This window comes from Homo sapiens, chromosome 8 (genome assembly GCF_000001405.40).
Source record: "Homo sapiens chromosome 8, GRCh38.p14 Primary Assembly".
Classification (NCBI taxonomy): Eukaryota; Metazoa; Chordata; class Mammalia; order Primates; family Hominidae; genus Homo; species Homo sapiens.
This window is the reverse complement of record NC_000008.11, coordinates 22,907,667-22,929,661: the sequence shown is the minus strand read 5'-3', so window position 1 is coordinate 22,929,661 and position 21,995 is coordinate 22,907,667. Positions and strand designations below refer to the sequence as shown.

General features: G+C 51.6%; 1 protein-coding gene across 3 annotated transcripts in view, besides 5 other annotated features; it reads left to right on the top strand.

The window, feature by feature from the left end:
• The window catches only part of PEBP4 (phosphatidylethanolamine binding protein 4), a 227,827-nt gene that overhangs the window by 11,416 nt on the left and 194,416 nt on the right, over nucleotides 1–21,995 (top strand). The window contains exons 1-3 of one of the 3 annotated variants that reach the window (NM_144962.3): nucleotides 1,748–1,839; nucleotides 1,942–2,078; nucleotides 9,352–9,478. In NM_144962.3, coding sequence (NP_659399.2) covers nucleotides 1,948–2,078; nucleotides 9,352–9,478 — 258 coding nt within the window. In that variant the 5' untranslated portion in view covers nucleotides 1,748–1,839; nucleotides 1,942–1,947. Of the gene's footprint in view, nucleotides 1–1,747; nucleotides 1,840–1,941; nucleotides 2,079–4,326; nucleotides 5,306–9,351; nucleotides 9,479–21,995 lie in introns of those variants that run through there. The other 2 variants (XM_017013103.2, NM_001363233.2) reach the window with 2 other exon arrangements.
• Nucleotides 9,188–10,116: an enhancer, noted in NCBI's record as "H3K4me1 hESC enhancer chr8:22777059-22777987 (GRCh37/hg19 assembly coordinates)". NCBI's record gives its function as "activates a minimal SCP1, AML or CMV promoter by ChIP-STARR-seq in naive H9 embryonic stem cells {active_cell/tissue: H9 hESC(naive)}" and the evidence as "EXISTENCE:reporter gene assay evidence [ECO:0000049][PMID:30033119]".
• Nucleotides 16,495–17,266: an enhancer, noted in NCBI's record as "H3K4me1 hESC enhancer chr8:22769909-22770680 (GRCh37/hg19 assembly coordinates)". NCBI's record gives its function as "activates a minimal SCP1, AML or CMV promoter by ChIP-STARR-seq in naive H9 embryonic stem cells {active_cell/tissue: H9 hESC(naive)}" and the evidence as "EXISTENCE:reporter gene assay evidence [ECO:0000049][PMID:30033119]".
• Nucleotides 17,267–18,038: an enhancer, noted in NCBI's record as "H3K4me1 hESC enhancer chr8:22769137-22769908 (GRCh37/hg19 assembly coordinates)". NCBI's record gives its function as "activates a minimal SCP1, AML or CMV promoter by ChIP-STARR-seq in naive H9 embryonic stem cells {active_cell/tissue: H9 hESC(naive)}" and the evidence as "EXISTENCE:reporter gene assay evidence [ECO:0000049][PMID:30033119]".
• Nucleotides 20,352–20,646: an enhancer, noted in NCBI's record as "tiled region #3596; HepG2 Activating DNase matched - State 12:CtcfO, and K562 Activating DNase unmatched - State 8:EnhW". NCBI's record gives its function as "activates a minimal TATA promoter and a strong SV40 promoter by Sharpr-MPRA in HepG2 and K562 cells {active_cell/tissue: HepG2 | K562}" and the evidence as "EXISTENCE:reporter gene assay evidence [ECO:0000049][PMID:27701403]".
• Nucleotides 20,394–20,453: a silencer, noted in NCBI's record as "silent region_19016". NCBI's record gives its function as "represses an Ori minimal core promoter by ATAC-STARR-seq in GM12878 lymphoblastoid cells {active_cell/tissue: GM12878}" and the evidence as "EXISTENCE:reporter gene assay evidence [ECO:0000049][PMID:35858748]".

Here is a 21,995-nt window from a genome sequence, read left to right as displayed (position 1 = left end):
CAAATTCCAGGTCTGCCACTTCTTGGTGACCAAGATCAGGTTTTAACTAATGTCACTGTGCTGTCTCCTCCTCCATAAGATGGGGTGATAATAGTGCCTATTTCCAAGGATTGGCATGAGGATTCGGAGATAAAAGTGCCTGGCACGTGGAGTAAGGAAGAACCGCCACTGGAAGTGGGCTCAACAGCAGCAACCTGCACTGTGGGCTCTCCCTTCTTCCAGGCCGCCATCACTGTGCTAAAGGAGTTGACACCCAGAAAAGTTGAGACTTCTCTAGTGGATGCCATTTGGAAGATGAGTTTCTTGGTCTTGGGCAGCCCTTCTGGCAGCATCTCCTTGGCTGTGGCTGTCCTGTGAGCTGCATGCTCAACCTATACCCCAGGGCCCAACATGGGGCAGGCACGTGGGAGGTGCTTAATGCCTATGAGTGAAGTGGGTTGCAAAGGAATGAATGAATGGATGGATCCGTGAGAGAATACTTAGACTATTCATAAATTATTGAGCATTTACTATGTGCCAGGCACCTTACTGAGGGCTTAACCTGGTTGATTTCATTCTCATAATGATCTTGTGAGGAGGCTACTATTAGACTCTGTCCACTAGGGGAGATCTTGGGAATATGTTTTCTGGTTGGGGCAAGGGGGAGTCCTGGTTGTACTTCAGAGAACCTAATGATTGAGAAATGTGTTTAATATGTAGCCCCTAAGGGGGGCTTTTTGCTACAGGTTGGGATCCTGGAGGCAGGAATTGAGCCAGAAAGCAGACTATGCTGAAAGTAGTTTCTCTAAAGGTCTAGCTGCGTGTACTTTACAGCGATGATCTCATATTCCTTAGCAAGGCACCACGGTGACAGGAATTATTTTACTTGTTTGTGAAAAGGAAAAGTGGTGCATTCTAGGGAGACACAGTGGCCTCCCAGCATCCAGAGAGAGCTCAGAGCAGAAGCCAGGAGTCCTGAGTTGCTGGCACGTCTCTCCCACCCCCGCCTCTGAGAAGCAGAGAGCAGAGCTATTGGAAAGCCTGTTGCAAGCCGCCTTTATTCTTCTCCCTGCCCACTCAGGCTCAAACCAGAGTCCCACATGCACCTGGTGGCAGGACTGTTCCCCAAGGGAATGCAGGCGACAGTCCCCGGCTCCCCTTCCTCCCAGTGCACTGCTGGGGCAGGCCACCCCTTTCTGAGCCCCAAGCAGCTCCCCAGACCTCCTTCTCCAGATACGATTATTTTGGGAGAGTGCTGAGTGCAGCACAGCTGCAAGGTGCACCCAGACGCACCCTTCTGTCCTCAGCTGGCCCTTCGGAGCTGGCCCTTCGGAGCTGGCCTCGGTCTGGGGTGCACCTACCCCCACCCCCTGCAGCAGTCCCTCCTACACAAGGTCACTGTGTCCAACCACCTCCACCTTGGGGAAGCTCACAGGCTGTGGAGACAGGTGGTGGAAGAATGGGGGCCAGGAGAGTCAGAGCCGGTCTGAGGGGCACAGCCCAACTCCTAGCCCTGAGCCTGGGGTCACCAGCTTCCCAGGGCTTGCCTTACAGCCAAGGAGCAGGCTGGCCTTTGGCCAGCTGACCATCCCTGGGCCAACAGCAGGGACTGGACAAGGAGCTGCACCGAGGAGCTTATATAAGCACTTCTACTTTGCAGCCTGCTCTCTGCCCTGGCAGCCAGGACAAGAGTGACAACAAAGCTGTGTCCTGCCAGGGGAGGGGCCTCTGCCAGGAACGTACATTGAGTCCAACTTGGAAGAGGCCCAGTCCTCCCAAAGTACTTGTGTCCGGGTGGTGGACTGGATTAGCTGCGGAGCCCTGGAAGCTGCCTGTCCTTCTCCCTGTGCTTAACCAGAGGTCTCTATCCTGCCAAGTGGGCCCCTGGGGTCGGGGGCACAGGTAGTGGGCAGGAAGGCCCCTGCAGGGGATCCAGCCGCTCTAAAGTTCTTTCTGTTCCAGGTGCCCATGGGTTGGACAATGAGGCTGGTCACAGCAGCACTGTTACTGGGTCTCATGATGGTGGTCACTGGAGACGAGGATGAGAACAGCCCGTGTGCCCATGAGGCCCTCTTGGACGAGGACACCCTCTTTTGCCAGTAAGTCAGGGCAGGCTTGGAGGCGGGAGGCACAGAGGCTACCAGGCAGGTAGATGGCAGGGAGGGGTATATCCAGAACCAAGAAGCACCATCTCCTGAGCCTGATTTTATGGGAAGGCAGAACACGTGTCAGATCTGGAGACCACCTTGATGGAGGATGGCACTGAGAAAGGGATTTAGAAACAGACTCCTTCCTGCCTTCCAGAATGCACCTCTCCCAGGACCAGGAGGGCTGTGTATGTGGTCGGCTCTGCTTGGGCCCTCCAAACCTGGGGGGTCTTTGTGGGGGCAGGAGGCTGAGACCCTCAGAGAGAGACCCAGAGAGAGACCATCCCTCCCTGCAGCCTGAATGCCCCCTCTCCCCAGAACCCCAACAAAGAGGCATTTGAATGAAAGAAGGTGTATGATTAGACCCTTCCTGTGTGAGAGGTTTTTGTCAGTGATAGGACCCAGGAGCGTTTGTGCAGGGCCCTTTAGGGATCATGGCACTGGATGGAGTTGGGTGACGAGGCTGGCTTCTTCCCTTCCAAGGGCACAAGCTGCTTCTACTTTGGGTAAGCTGGAAAGCCTGGCGTTCGGCTCTCTCCTCACCAACTCTGCCGGTTAGAAAAGCAAGCCTTCATTTGTGTGGACTTGTGGGTCATCCTGAGGACTCCCCAGGCCAAACTGATGCCAAACCTCCCTGCCAGTTTGGTGGCTGAGGAGGGGGACACCCCACTGAGCCCACGTGTGAGAAATGAGAGAGGAGGAAAAAGAACTTTGACTACTTACTCTCTTCTGTACCTTTGAATTTTCACAAACATTACTGTTCATGAAAATGTTTGTTTTTCTTTTTAATTTTATTTAAAACATTTTTGACAAACATTACTTTTAGAACCATAAATACATGTCTTCTCTTAAAATTATGTAGTTGAATCCTTCTTAAAAAGTAACATTTTTGTTGGGTGAAGTGGCTCACATGTGTAATCCCAGCACTTTGGGAGGCCAAGGTGGAGGATCACTTGAGCCCAGGGGTTTGAGACCAGCCTGGGCAACATAGAGAGACTCTTTTCTCTACAAAACAGTTTAAAAACTAGCCAAGCATGCTGATGCACACCTGTCGTCCCAGCTACTCAAGAGGTTGAGGTGGGAGGATCGCTTAAACCCAGGAGGTCAAGGCTGGTCTGAGCCATGATTGCGCCACTGCATTCCAGCCTGGGCAACAGAGCCAGACCCTGCCTAAACAACAACAACAACAACAACAAAAAGTAACAAACTTTGTTCGTGTCAGTATATTTTGAAAAATCTTGTTAAATAGTTCTGGGTGTAGGCTGGGCACGGTGGCTCACACCTGTAATCCCAAGACTTTGGGAGACTGAGGCAGGCAGATAACAAGGTCAGGAGTTTGAGACCAGCCTGACCAACACGGTGAAACCCTGTCTCTACTAAAAATAAAAAAAAATTAGCCGGGCATGGTGGCGCACACCTGTAATCCCAGCTACTCAGGAGGCTGAGGCAGGAGAATCCCTTGAATCTGGGAGGTGGAGGTTGCAGTGAGCCGAGATTGCGCCACTGCACTCTAGCCTGGGCGACAGACCAAGACTCTGTCTCAAAAAACAAACAAAAAAACAAACAAGCAAGAAAACAGTTCTGGGTGAAGTTTTCACGTGGAAGGAGGAAGAGAAACGTGGTTGCCTCTCACAAGTGGGATCTAATTTTCTAGGTGCTCTGCTGAGTGAGCTGAGGGGCTGGCAGGCTTCTCGCTCTGAGCAGTGCAAGGTCAACACCCCCGTAACCAGGAGAGGTCAGCTGGGCCAGGGTACAGCAGGCCTGGGCCACAATAAGGGCCCCTTAAGGAGGACCTCAGCAGTTCCTGGTGTTTCCCACACTGTGGGAAATGAGGATGTCTGTAGGGTCATTGGGGGTGACCAGCCTGAGGCTCCAGATGCCCTAGGCTCTGCCCTGCCAAGATCACATGTTGGTGCCCTGGTGACCCATGCATGGGGACACACGTGGGAAGTCCCAGGGCACCTTCTGTGTGCCAGGTGCTCTGCCGGTGCCTGGACTCCTTGACTCCTTTCACTGTCAGTAACGAACCTACAAAGTCTGTGTTAGCACCCCCATTCTGCAGATGAAGAATCCCCAGAGATTAAGAAATCTGCCCACAGTGTTTACATAGCTTAAAAGTAGCAGAGCCAAGATCTAGCCCCCTTGTCTGACTCCACACTCACGCTCTTTCCCTATCTGCTTCTGACAACCTTCACCCCAGGTTCAGGGCTCCCAGACTCGAGTCAAGGGGGCCCATTCTCAGGACTCCCAGAATACACCAGCAGGCCCCCAGTCTGAGAAAGAGACTTATGACCTTAAGGTTGCATGCCAGGAAGATGTCTTTTGATTTCAAGCCATCATCGCAAAAGAGGAGCTTTGTCTTTATTGTCACTGAAGATTTTTGTTTGGAAGAGAGCATCATGAATGATGATGAAATGAAAAATGCATCAAGGACAGATCGGACCCCTGAGGAGACAGCAGGACCTCCTGCACTGACCCCTCCTCAAGATCCCCACTCGGCTCAGGCTCTGACCTTGGCAAGAGATCCCCCAGAGAAGGCACTCCTCTTGTGGGCATTTGGTCTACCAGGGAACTCTTAAAGATTGGACTCAATGCCTAAAGGTATTAATCTATAAGGGAGGAATTTTATGTACTGTGACAAGCTGTGAGACATTGTTAAGAGTAACGCTTCTCGGGAATCAGACCTTCCCTGCTTCTGAGATACCCCAGACAAGACCAGCAAAACCACCGACGGTCCCAACCCTGGGCTCAGTCGCAGAATGGAAAGAACCATGATTCTCCAAACCTGCAGCCAGGAGGTGAATCCACTCAAAAAACCCCACCTGCTGCTGCCATCCAGTCAGCCCTGCAAGCTCCCCTAGGGATGGGAGCTGCTGCTCAAAGCGTCCTGCTTTTTGGTGTTGAAAAGCTCCGTTCTTCAGAAAGTACATTCTTACCCCGAGGCCCTGCTGCTCTTCTTGAACACCAACCCTACCTGTTGTAGTGCGGATCCACGAGGTGCACAAACTAGTCTAGTTTCTCATCTTCTTTGTGGTCATTCATGTGTGTGGTGACAGGTGCCATGCCCTGCCCTGCCCCTTCATCCCCAGCTCCCCCCAACCTGGGCAGTCATCCCCAGTCCTTCAACCTCTCTCAGGGGCCTTGGTCTCTCCTGTTTAAATACATTTCTTTTAGAGACAGAGTCTTGTCTGTCACTTAGGCTGGAGTGCAGTGGCCTGATCATAGCTCACTGCAGCCTTGAACACCTGGGCTCAAGCAATCCTCCTGCCTCAACGTCCTGAGTAGCTGGGACTACAGGTGCACGCCACCACACCTGGCTAAGTTTCTTATTTTTTGTAGAGTTGGGAGTCTCGGTATGTAGTCCAGGCTGTTCTCAAACTCCTGGGCTCAAGCAATCCTGCTGCCTCAGCCTCCCAAAGTGCCGGTATTACAGGCATGCACTGCCATACCTGGCTTGCTGTTTTTCAAGTGGGGTGACCCACACTTTCACAGTGAGCCCCCTCTTCGAGGCAGCCTCATATCCCATGTGTCTTTTTGTCATCCTCACTGTCTTAGTCTGTTCAGCTACCATAACAAAATACCTTAGACTAGGTCATTTCTAAACAGCAGGAATGTATTACTCACAACTCTGGAGGCTGAGAAGCGCCAAAATCAAGGTGCTAGTGGATTCAGTGTGCGGTACAAGGTTGCTCTCTGCTTCAAAGATGGCACCTTCTTGCTGCGACTTCACATGGGGGAAGGGAAGGGCAGCTCCCTTCAGCCTCTCTTATGAGGGTGCCTTTTATAAGGGTGACTTAATCACCTCTTCCAAGTCCCGCTTGTTAATACCATCATATTGAGGATTAAATTCCAACATATAAATTTTGAGGAGACACAAACACTCAGACCATAGCACTCACTGAGGGGCAGCTGAAATTCTAAGCCCTTCATACAGGCACAGCTGAGAAGCCACGTTTCTAGAGACAGGGTCTCAGTGCATCACCCTCTGTCACCCAGGCTGGAATGTAGAAGCAGGATCATGGCTCACTGCAACCTTGACCTCCCAGACTCAAGCGATCCTCCCACCTCAGCCTCCCATATAGCTGGACTACAGATGCGTACCACCACACTTGGCTAATTTTTTCTATGTTTTATAGAGACAGGATCTCACTACGTTGCCCAGGCTGGCCTCTAACTCCTGGGCTCAAGTGATCATCTCACCTCAGCCTCCCAAAGTGCTGGGATTACAGGCTTGAGCCACCACGCCCAGCCCTTGTGATCTAATTCTTGCCATGACAGAGACCCACATGACCACCTAGCTCAAACTGAAGCCTGGAGGAATGAAACAGCTCACTAGGGAAAACGTGTGGTGCGGGGAAGAAAGTGCAGCCAAGCCCACAGTACTAGTTCTCTGTTGTACACAACAGATCACTCCAACACGTAGCAGCTGCAAATAGGTATTGTCCAACAGTTTCTCAGTTACTCATCTGGAGATAGGAATAGTGATAACAGCTGCCTCAAGGTATGGTTGCATGAAATGAAATCATACATATGTGATGTCCCCGATATATTGGGGTGGCCCAGTAAAAGTCATGCCCTTCATCCCCAGTCCCTTATGTAGCATTAGTTCATGGCAAAGCTGGGGCCAGGGCCCCTGATCTTTTCACTCCACTGTCTAGAGTGCCTTCAAGTCTTGTCAAGGAGATCAGGAGATCCCCAAACTCTCCACATGGAAATTAGAAGAATTCCATGTCAGGTAAACCACAAGCAGCAAGGGCACACAGGAAGGTGGCACCTTTGAGGTTTTCTGGCTTGAATGCAAGTTGTTTTTGAGATAGGGTCTTGCTCTGTCACCCAGGCTGGAGTGCGGTGATGCAATCATGGCTCACTGCAGCTTCTACCTCCTGGGCTCAAGTGATCCTCCCAAGTAGCTGGGAACACAGGCAGGCACTACCATGGTGTTTTTTTTTTGTTTGTTTGTTTTTTTAATTTTTGGTAGAAACAGGGTCTCACTATGTTGCCTAGGCTGGTCTCAGATTCCTGGGCTCAAGTGATGCTCCCACCCCAGCCTCCCAAAGAGCTGAGATTATAGGCATGAGCCACCGTGCCTAGTCTTGAATGCAAAATTTAAAGTGTATTTTCTCAGTAACTTTAATTTTTGATTCAGCTCACCTCAGGTTTGTCCAGGTCGTCTCGTAAGTCAATTTGATCATCAGAATTGTTGGTTACCAGCTCTGTGCCATCTGCAGATCAAATAAATTTGTCTCCGTGTCCTTCTCCAAGACTTTGCTAAAGCAGCTGAGCAGGGCAGAGGCCTGCACATGCCCCTTTCCCATCATCCTAGGTGGGGCAATACGCTATGTTCAAACGCTGGCCTGGCAGTGCCCTATGGGCGTGAAGAGAGGGACAGAGACAAGACCCAAATCCCTGGTTCCCTGGCATGTGCCCTGTCCTTCAGGGCACTCTCTGTGGCTCTGTGCCCACCTCATCAAATAACAATTTGATGATTTTGCTTGTTTAATCCTTTTGATATTTACAACAATTCCACTCTGATAAAAAGGGGAGAGGGGTTATGGGCGTGAGGGCGTCCCTCCACCCTCAGTTTACCTCCTCCCTACCTCTCAGTTTTCCCATCCTGTGCTGTTTGCTGTCTGTCTCTCTGCCCTTGGTGGGTCCCCTCTCTGCCTCGCATCTCGCTAGCTGCGGCAGCAAGGAGTTGCAGCAGAAACAAACCAAACGGTCCTTAAGATGATGCTAGGAAGATAAAACTGGTCACCTAAAACTTCTCCAAAAGCTGTGAAAATCTTGCCATCCACCAAGAATTGCTGTAAATGCGCAAAGAGTTAGAAGAAACAAACTTGCTCAGCAAGCCCATGACTCATCCGGCTTCCACTCTCTGAGACCAGAGCATGTGACTTCTGGCACTGGGGGCGCTGGCCCACCGAAGTGTCCTGGTCCGGGGCTGCCAGGTGCTGGGGGCTCAGCGGCCTTTTGCCCAAGGCTGGACTTCAGGAGCCACTGGAAGGGTGGGAGGTGGAAGGTGGGAGGGGCAATGCAGGGTTCCCCACCAGGAAGCTGCTCTTGGCCTACTCCCAGGCCCCAGGTTCAGGGAGCTCCCTTTCCAGATCTATTCTCCAAATTACATCCTCACAGGGTCCCCTTAGATATCACCCCCAGCAAGGCACTGTGGACCGCTGTGGGTGGCTACCGGCAGGCTGTAGAGCGGCTTAGCCCTGCAAGGTGTTAGGAAAGGCTGGGGACCTGCAACACCCACTCTCTACCCACACCCTTTCTCTCTCAGTGATGTCTTAACCCTCGTTAACCCTACAGAGGACTTAGGTCATGGAGATAAATTATAATAGAAGGGCAAGCAAAAACAGTTTTAAAAAATGTCTTTGAAAAATCTTACCTGTGTTCCTGAGTGTCAAATATAAGCATGCACTTACAGCCAGCCTGGTGCTGTCATGGCCCAGCCCGGCCTGCCCTGCCCTGCAGGCTCTGTTGCCTTGCTCTGCATCATATTTTCTTCCCTTCCAGGAAGCCACATTCTTAGAACCCTGGTGCTGTTCGGGCCCTTCTTCTCAGGGAGCAAATACATGAACTGGTTCATTCATACTGACAGTCTTAGTGAGCCAGTGTTTTACCCCCTGAGGGATGTTTGCATTTTGAAAGAGAACCTAGGCTACAGTCAATGCTTAACCCAAAGAAGCCAATTCTTCACCTAATGGTGGGATTTCAGGCATGGGGAGCTCTTGATTGTTTAGGGGAGAGAGAAGGTCTATGCCCTTGAAGGAAGCTGTGCTGACTTGCTAAGCTTTTCTTTCTGTAATAAGAATGTTCCTGAAAAGCAATCTATAGGTATTGTTTTTATAAACTCAATCCTACTTTAAAGACACTAAGTTTGCCTAAGGATATCTGTTCTTCTAGGGAAGTAAAGGCTGATGATAATTAATATTATACTTTCTGATGACTTACAACGTGCCAGGTTCTGTTCTGACCATTGACCGCCACTTTTCTTCTCACACTGACTCCATGAGGGAGGAATTATTAGTGTCTTCGTTTTACAGGTGAGGAAACTGAGGCACAAGGAGGTCAAGTAACTCTTCGGTCACACAACTAGTTAGTGGCAGGTTTAGGATTTGATCCCATTTCACTTTACATTCCCAATAGTGCTAGACTGAAGCCTTGGGAACCCCAGGCTCCCTTAAAACCCTGACACAGGGCAACCTCCCCTCTCTCTTCATAGGGGCCTTGAAGTTTTCTACCCAGAGTTGGGGAACATTGGCTGCAAGGTTGTTCCTGATTGTAACAACTACAGACAGAAGATCACCTCCTGGATGGAGCCGATAGTCAAGTTCCCGGGGGCCGTGGACGTGAGTGAGCAGGGCTGTGTTAAAGCGGGGGGACAGTTGGGGGTCTTGATGTTCCTCCAGGCTTGCTCATCTGGGTGACTTGAAGCTGCGTGCAGAGCCATCTGGGTTGGGTCTGGTGGCTGCAGATGGCTGTTGCCATAAAGTTGTGCCTTCCTTAGAGTGGACTTGAGGAGAAGGCTGGGGGCTGGTGGGAGGGCTGCAGACTGGAAACTTTGGTGATGGTTGAGGCCATTCTGCCCAGGCCTTTTCCTGCTCCCCTGCTCTGGGAGCTCCTTGGCTGCCCCTGAGATCTGGGACCCCAAGCCTGGTGGAGACCAGCTGGTGTGTGCTTTGGAGTTGGCAGATAAGTGGAAGAAGGCGTGGTATGGGAGGAGTCCTCTCTCAAGGCGCGGGGTGCCTGGGCCTTCAGATGGCTTCTGGGCTGGAGAGAAGCTGGTATTTACCAAGACAGAGCTTCCCAAGTTGCCTAAACAGGCAGAGGTCAGTGCATCTTGACGCTTTGTTGTCACAACATGAGACACGCTCTTCTTTTGCCCAAAGTTGTGTAAAAGAAGAACAAAGCATTTTAGGAACTGGAAATAACTATTTTACTGGGCAGTGATTAGTGCTATTACATTTAGGGGTCTGGAAAGCCTGGGGAAGAGTCATAGAAGTGGGAAATGGGTCTGCTGCTGCCCTAAGCAGCCAGAGTGTGTTTTGGGGAAGCTGATCTGGCCTTCTGGTCTCCGCTTCTTTATTTCTTGACTCCTGGGCCAGACTGAGCCCGCAGAGTGTCAATGGTGGAGACTGGCCTCTTTTCTGCTGTGTTTTAGAAGGAGGTGCTGCTGTCAATCTAGGCAGGACTTGGGTCACAAATGCCTGGAGATGGAAGGGTCGTGGCCGGGATGTGACCAAGCACACACACCAAGGCTGACCTTCTGGTCCTTTCTGTGCAGGGTGGCAGGGAAGGGCCACAAGGGGTTCTTCCTTCCCCTCAGTGCTGCCTTGGTTAGGCCTCATGCAGTCAGCTAAGCCCAGTAGGACAACAAGCTCCAGAGGGCGGCAGCACACAAGTTACTCCAATGCGGGGAATAGACTCTTCTCTTTGAAGTGTTTTTCACTATCAGAGAGCAAATAGATTGTGATATGGCTCGCAAGTTATGAGGCTGTTGTCATGAAGCTTTGCTAGGTTGTCTTGTTTGCAAACACGACAAACACCCTTTCCTTTGGGAAGACGAGCAATAAAGTGCACACGTGCACATGTGTGCACATGTGCACACACACACTTGCATGCACACCCATGTGCACACAGCGTCAGCCCTCTTCCCTGGAAACCCTTGGACTGGGCACACCTGTGGACAGCCAAGAGGAGCAGAGAAAGGAAGCCTGCTGATTCTAACTCCTGGGATGGGAGGTGCAGAGGCCGGGCAGGAACCCAATCTTTTAGAGGAGTATATGCTACTCTGCGGGACAGGACTCTCGGCTTCACCATCCATTCACTTGTCTTGGGGTTTGTCCCTTATGTAGTGAGGGTCAGTCGGATGCTTTCACAGGCCAGGGACAGTCCCAAGGGAATTCTCCCCAAAGGGCTCCCTTCCGCGTGCTGATGATGCTGCAGACATCCACTAGATGGCAGTGTAGACTTTTCTGAGCACCTGGTGTCCTCCAGAGCAGGGATTTGAAGCCTGTTGGGAAAGTCTTTGGTTTGATTTGGTTTCGTTGCCCTGGCTTATCAGCACATTACACAAAGACGACATCACCCACGCCACATCCTGAAGTCTTGTACTGTTAAACCCATCCTGCCTCAGCCCGGGGGTGGGGTGGGGAGAAAACGGATGTGGAACATAGAGATTTATGAGGAACACAGAGCTGTGGTCAAGAAAGCCTGGGAGAGTGAAGATTTTACAAAGGAAGATTTGATCGAAGCTGTGGGAAGAAGAAAAACATAGTATTCTACTACTATGGAACTATAGTTTATGGAAATGTAACAGACCTATGAGAAGGCAGATTCAGAGAGATTTGCCAAAGTGGTCAGTGAGTGCCACCTTATTCCATTCCTGGGCACTACTCGGACCTTTCATTTAAGTCTCCAAGTTAAGTATTTCTTTCATCAAGACTATTAATGGCATGTGACAAAAAGTCAACTCAAATCGGCTTAAGCCAGAAAAGAGGGGGAAACATTGGTTCACAAAACTGAAAACTCCAGGGATAACTTCAGGCGAGGCTGGATCCAGGTGCTCAGTGTCACCAGGAATCTGTCTCTTGATTGTTTTTTTCTGTGCTGTTTTCATTTGTAAATAGAGTCTTCCCTTGTGACAAAGATGGCCCCAACAGCCTTAGGTTTGTGTTTGACCAATTTGTCAACCCCAGTGGAAATAGGGTTTTCCATCCATTAAAAGTCACAGGATTGGTCTCGCTTTGGTCTTGTGCCTATCCCTGAACCTAGCAGTGACCCTCTACAGCTCCCCTTAATCTACAAGGACTGAGAGTAGAGGAGGATGGTTGCCCTGAATGCAAGTCAAGGTGTGATTGATCAGATAAGGGTGAAAGGATGTTAGGTAGGAAATGCAAGGCAGGTCCTATGGAAGTGAGTAATCTGGCCAAGTACAGAGCTGAAAGGTGCCAGAGCCAGAGTCAAAGCCAGGTCTGCCCAACTCCAGAGCCCATGGGCCTGGCCAGTGGGCCACTGGCAAGGGCTCTAAGGGAGACACCAGGGGGCGCTGGCACAGGCAGGGGTGGGCTGGCCGAAGGGAAGCTTTCCCTGGTTAGAATGGAAGGGGGTGGGCAGGAAGGATAGTTCTTCCTAGGGAAGGTGGTAGTTGGAGCTTCCCTTAAGGGAGAGGGCATGACTGGTGAGGCTGGAGGAGCAAGTGCTACCTGGGTCCCTCAAGAAAAGGGTGCGGGGAGCCTGAGTGTTTAGGACAGAGAAGAGCATGAAGGTATTTCTTCTGGGCCTGATGGAGAAGGGCACGAGTTGGTGACTGCTATGTGGGGATGGTGCATTGCTTCCAAGGTGACTGAAGCAATGCCACCAAAGCAGTGACTGCCATTGGACATGCCTGGGAACACCCCCCCCTCCCCCGCCCCCAGCAAACTCCAAAGCCCTGGAAAGAGGGGTGCAGCAGTGCCTCTGTGCCCACCATAGAGCTTCCCACCTCCATATTCTGGCATTGGCCACTTCCCCATCCTTGGCGTCTTTGGACCCTGCTCCCGTCACAATGCTTCCTCCTCTAGGAAGCCTTCCCTGACTGCCTCCCTCTGGGCTCCACCTACATCCCTGGCTGATCTTTTCTTTCTCTGTGCTTTTAAAATGTTCCTACCCTCTAAACTGGGTTTTGACTTCCCTGTGTCTTGTGCTGTAGTTGCTCATTCCTGTCTCTCAAAGCTTCAAGCACTTTGTAAGTTAGGAGAGAAAGACTATGTGTTGTCTTTCTTTGAGTCACCCGTGGGCCCCACCAGCACCTCAGATGCCATGCTGGCTGACTGGGTGACTAGGTGAGAGAGTGAACAGGTGAATGCATGAATGCATGAATGCATGAATGAATGAATGAATGAATGACATGTGGGAGAGCATCTCCTGGAGTGTGAGCTATGAGCTGTGTCAGCCAAACTGTCGGCCCTTTCAGCATCTGTTGAAGGAAAGCTGCTAAACCTAGTGAACCCAGGGCAGCAGGACTCTCTCCTCCCCCTAGGGGTGGGGTGTGAGCTGGGGGGTGGGTGGGGAAGCAGGCAGAGAAAGAGAGGAAGTCAGGCAGGTTCATGAGAAGGCAAAGTAACACAGGAAAACGTGGCTGGCTCCCGTGCCAGCTATGGCTGAGCGAGAGAGGTGTGGAAGTAAGAGGAAGCGTTTCTCCCCTGGCGCTCTGACAAACATGAAGAGGCAAACATTTAAAAATGCATCCCGTTCTCAAGCCAAGGAAAACTGAAAGGCCCCTGAGAAGCTTCTTGACTGGGGGCTTATTCTCCACCTTAAATTTCGCCAGCTGGAATCCTTTTGAAGTGCAGAAATTGCCTTTAAGTGGGGAATGTGCATTGCATTACAGGGAGGGAACAAAAGGCTGCCTCGGTCTGTCCTGCTCTCCCTGGAGTTTCCAATCAGGCTTGGCCCAGGCACTATTTCTTCTCCTCACAAAGCAGGTGGCCCTGAGTGCCCTATCCACCTGGGTCAGTGCATTTCATGCCAGCCCAGGCCTCTAGCCGCAGCCTCCCAGGGAGCACCTTCTCGCCCTCATTGGCCCATGGTGGAGACACAAGTTTCAACCCAAATTTTCTAGAGGCCTGGAACTCTCCTCTCTATAAGAGAGCTCGGAACTCACAGGTCCACCGCCCCTACCAACCCTTCTCTGTATACACAGAGCAGAAAAATACAGGCTGCTGCAGTCACAAAATGATTAGCCGAGGAAGGACACGGGGCTCCCAACACCCACAGCAATTCTAGAAGAACAGACCCTAATGGATGGAGCAGAGACGTCTTCCAGTAGACTACATGTGGAGTCTCCTCTCCTACATGTGGAGGCGGTCAAGTGCAGGCCCACTGGCTCAGGGGACTGCAGCCGCCATGGACTATTTGGTGTTGGGGATGGGCGGTGACTCACTTCGTAAATATTACTGAACACATTGCATCAGGCACCATGTCAGTGCTATTGATTCAGAGACGAAAGACACTATCACGGAGCTTGCAGTATAGCTGGGGAGATAGACAGGTAGCGGGCAAGCATGGGGACACAGGGTGTCAGTGAGCCGGGACCCAGCAAGGGACAGATGGGAGCCAGGATGGTGAGGTGAGGGATGAGGCTTGTGGTTGGGTCGGGGGTCGGGGCGGGTAGGGCAGGGGCACATCCATGGTTAGGAGCCAAGAACTTCATGGCCCTGGTGTGGAGTTTAGAGTTTATCTTAAAGTTTGGCTGGTGGCTGGGGGAGGAGAGTCACCATTTGATTTTTAGGCTGGTAAATGTGATCAGATTTGCAATTTGGGAAGGTCACTCCAGCAGCAGGTGGAAGAATGGAAGAAAGGTAAGATTGAAGGCAAGGTGCCCACCCTGCAACCTAGGTGATGGCATGGACCATGGGCTGGGCTTAAAAGGTGTTAAGGACGTGGAACCCATAGAGCTTGGGGGCTGTGGGGATATTGGGGAGAGGGAGAGTCCAGATGACCCTCGGGTTTCTGTGATGAGCAGGCGAGTGGGTAACAATGAGGTTGAGTATATAATTTCTCATCTAAGACAGGACCCTTTTGAGACTAAAGGGGGATGCTGTTAATAGTTATGCCAGGACAATGTGTGTCATTGGGCATGGCGCTGGCAAGCTGGGGTATATGTTAACTCTAATAACGGTGCCTTCACCAAGAAGGGGACACAGAGAAGCACTGGGTTTTTTACAGGGATGGCAGCCATTGGCACCGACTTCTGCACAGAAACCCATAGAGTTTGAGGAGGCTGTAGCATCCAGAGGTAGCTGCCCGAGAGGCAGGTCTGCCATCTGACTCCAGAAGAGAAGGCAGGGCTGGGCACCTGGGTCTGCATCCTCAGTGTTCCAGCAGGCGTGGACTCTGAGAGGAGGACAGGTTTACCTGCGGGTAGGCTCTGCTATGCTCAACAGCAGCCAGCCAGAGAGGTTGGGTGAGGCCACAGGAAACGCACGCACTGCCTTACCCCAGCAAGCCACTGGTTACCCGTGTGAGGGGACCAAGGAGTGAATGAGGAGTGGATCCCATGGAGTAGGCTACTCACACCACCGCTTTGCCAGGGGAGAAGAGATGCCTGCGAATGTTTAAGTGCTGGCAGGGGCTGGGCACAGTATGTGTTCAGTAATATTTACGAAGTGGGTCACATCTCTAATCCCAGCACTTTGGGAGCCCAAGACAGGAGGATTTGCTTGAGGTCAGGAGTTAGAGACCCCATCTCTACAAAAAAATGAAGTTAACCAGGCCTTATGGTGGTTGATGCCTGTAATCCCAGCACTTTGGGAGGCTGAGGTGGGCAGATCACTTGAAGTCAGGAGATCAGCCTGGCAAACATGGTGAAACCCCATTTCTACTAAAAATACAAAACTTAGCTGGGTGTGGTGGCACATGCCTGTAATCCCAGGTACTTGGGAGGCTGAGATAGGAGAATCACTTGAACCCAGGAGGCAGAGGTTGCAGTGAGCCTAGATCGCGCCACTATACTCCAGCCTGGGCAACAGAGCAAGACTCTGTCTCAAAAAAAAAAAAAAAAAAAAGTAGCCAGGCCTGGTAGTTCACACCTGTAGTCCTAGGTACTGGGGAGGCTAAGGTGGGAAAATCACTTGAACCCAGGAGTTCAAGGCTGCAATAGGCTAAGGAGCTATGATTGTGCCACTGCACTTCAGCCTGGGCAACAGAGCAAGACCCCAACTCTAAATAAATAAGTAAATTCTGGCAGGAAGGAGCCAATAAAAGGGCAGTGTCAAAATACAGCAGAAGGAGGGGTTGAGGGGTCGACTGGAAATGCTCATTCCAAGGTGATAAACGGTGTGAATGGTGGGAGTTAGGAGGATATTTCAAAGGGTGTCCAGCTCCTTTGGAGCCAATGGGACCTGGCCACTGACTGGAAGTCAGGGGTGGGAGGTGCCGGAGATGCTTCTGAGGGAAGAGGAGGAGGAAGGGGATAGTGGGCAGGAGGGGTGCAGGTGTGGCCGCAGGGGCTGGAGGGGGCTGCCCTATGCTGGCCCTGGGAGCTGGAGCTCAGCCAGCCAAGCCCCTACTGCAGGGGGAAGAGGCAATGTCATGAAATTGCAGGGTGGAAGGACTTTGGGGCAGAGCGTGGGGAATGATGATGTCACGGACATTGCAGAAGAAGTAAAGGTGCACAGAGGAGGGAGGTGCAGGGAAGAGGCAGGAATGGGGAGCAGGAGTCACCAGGCTCCACTGCTGGGAGAGGCTGCATGGGGCCAGGCTGGGGAAGAGCCACTGGATCTGGATCGTTCCAGGACTGCGGGCTGGGAGCAGAAGGTAAAGTCAGGACAGGGTAAGGGGCCACCCTGGGGAGATCACCAGTGCATCAGGTGAGGGTTTAGGGAAGAATTCATGAGATGCCACTGTATTTGGTGCCGAGCACCTAACTGGAGTTTCATGGATGGGATCAGTTGTCACTACAATAGAAAGAGATGGATTTGTAGTCTGAAGGACAGAAGACACAAAAGAAGAGTTGGACTTTCCAAGGTTCCAGGAGAACTGTGTGTGTTTGAGGCCCAGAGGCAGAGGGGACAGGAGGCCGCTGAGCTTGTAAATGAAGGGCTCAGGTGCTAACAGGCGGAGCCAGGTGTGGGAAGGCAGGTGAGGAGGGCGCGCAGCACCCAGGCAAGGACGAATCAGGTCATTTTATCCTTTGTCCCTGGCTCCTTCAGTGCAAGTAGTCAAAGTGCTAACATCACTCAGCTGTGTCCCACTCTAGCCCAGGTCCCCAGCCAGGTCATCCGGGGCTCCTCTGGGTGCAACTGGACTGGGTGAAAGGGGAGTGAGGATTGTCAGCATTTCTAACCTTTGCAGTTAGATGTTCAGGTTGCAAAGACACTTCCTATGCAGGACTTCACAGGACAGATCCTCCTAGCAACATGGGGCGATGGATAGAGCGGGGATTATCCCCTTGATGACAGATGAGGGCGCTGCCCAGGGTCACACTTGCCAAACCTGGGAAGTGGGAGAACCAGCCCCGGATGGCAGCTTCCCTGGCTTGCAGTCAACTACCTTTCACCTATGTAATTTTGCCTCCGGAATCCCCCGGTTCCTGAAAACAGGCCTGTAATGTTGACAGTGGAGAGGGGGTGTCATTCAGTCATTCATGTATTCACTGGAGCAGATCCGGATGGAGCTCCACTCTCTGCCCCTCTGCCAGGTACTGTTCCGGTAGTGAGGGATACACACAGAACGCACCCCTGCCCTGCCTGTGATGGGCATCTTGCAATAGTGAGAATGTCCATTGTTGTTGTTATCACTTGTCTGTTAAACACTTAATGGCTGAGGGGAAACCTTAACAGAACGGCCACGTGCTCCGGCGACTGTCTTACTCAGGGTGGCTCCATTAGGAGGATTCCCAGTCTTAATCTTCACTCCCAGGGCTCCTTATCCTCGTGGCCTTCTCTGTCATTCCAGAACTTCCTGCCAGACCTGAACCTGCCCCCAGCAGCTTTTAATCAAACAGCGCCCCCCCTTACCCAATCCGCCACCCCCAGTCCGATAGATCTTGCCGGCAGCTCAGGCAGGCAGGGTGCACGCTCAGCGATTGGGCCGCTGACATCCACTGAAAGCTCCCAGCCAAGTGCTGGGGAAACAGGTTCCAGATGTTTCTCAGATCAAATACTGTTTCTTTGAAAAAAACTGTGTGCGCTGATCTACCAAGGGGGCACATGGGACCTGAAAGGAGCACTCAATGGATTTGCATCCTGGGTTGTTTTTTTGTTTGTTTGTTTTAAAGGCATTGAACAAGCGTCAGTGTAGGGCTCTTCACATGTTTGGGATCTGTTCACAGCGGTATGTTGGGAGTGTCAGCAAAGGCTTCTTGGATTTTAAAATAGCTGCCGGCCTTTGTGGGAGCCATTTAGAAGGAAGAGCATTTTGAATGCTACAGGGACTTGTTGCCTGCTCTCACTGGTGAAAGAAGGTTGTGGCCTAAAGGGGAGTTTTGAGAAAGGTTTGGCAGATTTTTAGAAGAGCAGTATCATGTGTTATTTGTTAAAACTTGCCGGCTTGTGGGTGAGGGGTGGAGAGAAGGAGGTGGGTGGAGCTCCCAGCTCTGCTGTGGGGAGCTGCTGCTGGGAGGAGGTGCCCACTGCAGTCCAAAACCCCCACTGCCTGGTGGGGAGGTGAGAACTGCCAGAGGAGGGGGCTGCAGCAGCTGCTGGGGGCTGGGCTGGCAGGGGCAGTTGTCATAGGATCCCGACTTTGAGGGCATCTCTCATTCTTCCAGGGACCAGCGCACCCCTGACATGTTGGTCTTGTACTCGCAGAGTCCACTAGACCCCAATCATGGCCATGTGGGTGTCATGGCAGGCAGAGCAGGTATTAGTGTCTCTGTTTTACAGGCGAGGAAACAACAGATCAGGGAAAATTATTTATTTATTTTTAATAGACTTTATGTTTTAGAGCAGTCTTAGGTTCACAGCAAAATTGAACAGATGGTGCAGAGAATTCCCATGTACCCCTGCCCCCACACAGGCACAGCCTCCCCTACCCTCAGCTCCCCCCACCAGAGCGGTGCATTTGTTCTACTCAACGAACCTACGCTGATACATCAGTATCACCCAAATCCATAGTTCACATTAGGGCTCACTCTTGGTGTCACACATTCTGTGGGTTTCTACAAATGCGTGATGGCATCATAGTATCATACAGAGTAGTTTCATTGCCCTGAAAATCCTCCGTGCTTCACCTATTCATGCCTCCCTCTAACCTCTGGCAACCACTGGTCTTTTCGCTGTCTCCGTAGTTTTGCCTTCTCCAGAATGTTGTAAAGTTGGAATCATACAATATGTAGTCTTTTCAAATTAATAGAGAGCCTAGACTACCACCCAGGCCTCCTGACTTCCGTTCCAGCACCTTCTTCACTATACAAGGGCTCTGTAACCCTGTCCATCGTTGCCAAGCCATTGGGCAGTTGCCCTGGGGCTAAGCTTCTCTTCTGAGAATTGTTGTTCCTTCACTGGGTGTTTCTAGCAAGGATTCCAGGTGGATGGAGAACTGCCTACCTCTGCCCCTGGTATTACCTTCAGGGTTCTCACCATTCATTTTCTTGTTTGTCTCTCCAATGAGAACATAAACTTCTTGAGGGCAGAGACCTCTGTATGCTTGGGAGACCAGCAAGAAAATAGGCAGATCCCACGCAGGGAGATGCGTGCCGTGATATGGAGCAAGCGCGGGATGTTGGGGGCTTGGTCTCTTGCTAACAACGGGGTAAGCTGTACAATTTTCAAAACACTTTCCCTATCATGACAATCCTTTTTATTTGTAGCACGTCAGTGCTGTCATTTCACACTCTTCATCTCCAGTTACTCCTGGGAGGTGGGTCAGGCAGGTGTTGATCCCTGTCCGTGATGAGAAACCCACAGCCCTTAGAGATAAAACGACTCTCTCAAGATCAGCAGGAGAGTGCAGCTGGGCTGGCTCCCAACCTGGCACCCATCGGTGTGCTGCCTCAGTACCTCGTTTGAGCCTCCTCACAACCTGGCGGACATTAGTTTGCTCTAAAGTACAGTTGTATTACATGGCGTGGTGAGACTAGAGCCTGGATCCCCTGGCTGTAGCCTTTTTCCCACCCACTCCAGCCCTCTGGTCCCCAGTGTTTACTACATGGTGATATTTGCTGGCCATTCTCCACGTGGCCAGGCTCTGTGCTAAGCACTTTATGAACAGTATCAGACTTAAGCCTTGCAGCCACCCAGCACAGAAGGCATGAGTGCCCTCATTTCACAGATGAGGAAACTGAGGCACAGAAAGATTCCCACTGCTCATGAGCAACAGAGTCAGGATTTGAACCCAGGTCTGTGTAGCCTCCAAAGCTCCTGCCCCTAACCACTCCACAGTACTGCTTCTGGTGGGTGGAGAGCAACCTGCAGTACACCCCGAACATCCTGAGGTGTTTCCAGGGACTGCTCCAGGCCCTGGGAAGAAGCCAGCCACCTAAGCCAATACAGGGAAGGAGTGGGTTGTGAGACTCCTCTGGTTCTGTCACCTCCCTTTACAAATGGTTTAATGGTGGCCTGGCAGTATCAAGTGATTCAGCCGAGGAAATTACGTGGGGGTACAGTGGTGTGCACAAATCAGGGACCCTCATTTCTTTACTGCGGGTTAGGTCTGCACTGCTAACCTGACATTGAGTCAGAAGAAGCCATTACACATTCGAACTCCCAGGTGCTGGCAATGCGGAGGGTTTGTGCCATGGCCCAGGTGTAGAGCCGCAGAGGATGGGGTAGGGAGAAGGACCCTGGACCCACGTCTTAGGTGTGGCTCCCCAGGCCTCGCTGGCGGGTAGGCGGAGATCGCCCTCTATCTCCCGGGGCTGCAATGGGAAGAGCCGACACCAGGGGGAGATAGGTGACCGTCATCCTACCCCAGGAACCTGTGAGCTGGCTGAGTGGCTGGGGCCACCAATGCAGGAAGGCATTGCAGAGGGCAGGTCACCCAGGAGTGAAAAAAATAGAGGATCCCTGATTTGGGTCGGGTGGGTTCACCTCTCTCTGCAACCCCTGCCCTATCTCTCTTTGCCACTTGGTTGTGGAAATGCCCTTCTGCCATTAAAATGCAAGTATCTCCAGGATGCAACGCTTTAAAGCTCGGCCGCTAACTGGAAGTGCCTTCCAGGGTCAAGCCCCTAGTTACCTGGGTGGGATGGTCATTTGCAAGAAAAGAAGGCCCAGCACTGAGCGTGCCTCTCACACCTTGCCCTGGATTGAGAAGATTTTAAAAATTGCGCTGTCAGTCCCATATTCACCTGCAGTTTCCCCTCCCCTCAGGCTTCCTGAGTACGAATACCTAGCAGGAACATGAATTGTTGCCTCTCAGAGCTGCCTTCCTTGGCCTATGGAACACTTGGAGCCCAAGGGGTGAGTTTGAGAAGTGCCAAGGCCCCTGGCTTTGCACAGACCTGAGTTTAAATCCTAGCGCTGTTGCTTGCAGCTTGTGACCTTGGGCAAGTTACTTCCTCACTCTGCGATTCCTTTTCCTCACCTTAAAATGGGTGGAATATCCATTTCAGGGGTGAGAGCCAGTGGTCAATCCTCAGTCCTAATCTTTCTTGACCCATCAGCAGCATTTTACTGAGTGGGTCACTGCCTCTTCCTAGACAGGTTTTTTTTTTTGTTTGTTTGTTTGTTTGTTTGTTTGTTTTCCCCTTGGCCTCCATGACCCACACTCTCTGGACTAACTTTCACTCTTTCTGGCTCTCACTTCGGTGTCTCCTTTTCTCCTTTCTTGTTCCCAGCTTCTTCTGCTGGGTGGTCTCATCCAATGCCATGACTTTAAATTTCATCCACATAACAACGATTTCCTGCTCACATGCATTTGTGGTGTCTGATAAGCCCCTCAAATGAAACATGGCCAGCCCCAAGTACCCAGTCACCACTCCCAACCCCAGCCTGCTCCATCTTCAGTCTTGCCCCATCTTGGTCAAGAGCAACTTCAGTCTTCTAGCTGTGCAGGCTGGACATGTTGGAGTCATCAGTATCTCTTTTTTTTTTTTTGAGACAGGGTCCCACTCTGTCACCCATGCAGGAGTGCAGTAGCACAATCTTGGCTCACCGCAACTTTCTTTCTCTCTCACCATGCAGCCAATGCACCAGGAAACTATATCCAGAGCTGACCACCTCTCTCATCCACCATCAGCACTCTGGCCAGGGTCACCATCCTCCCAACCTGGGTCATTGCAACAGCCTCCTAACCCATCTCCCTGCCACCACCTCTGCCTGCCTCAACGCCCAGCATACTCTCAGCCAGGCAGTCAGAGTGAGCCTTTACATCTGCAGGTCAGACCAGCTCAGCCTCTGCTCAAAATCCTTCAATTCCTCCCCATTTCACCAGAGTGAGAGC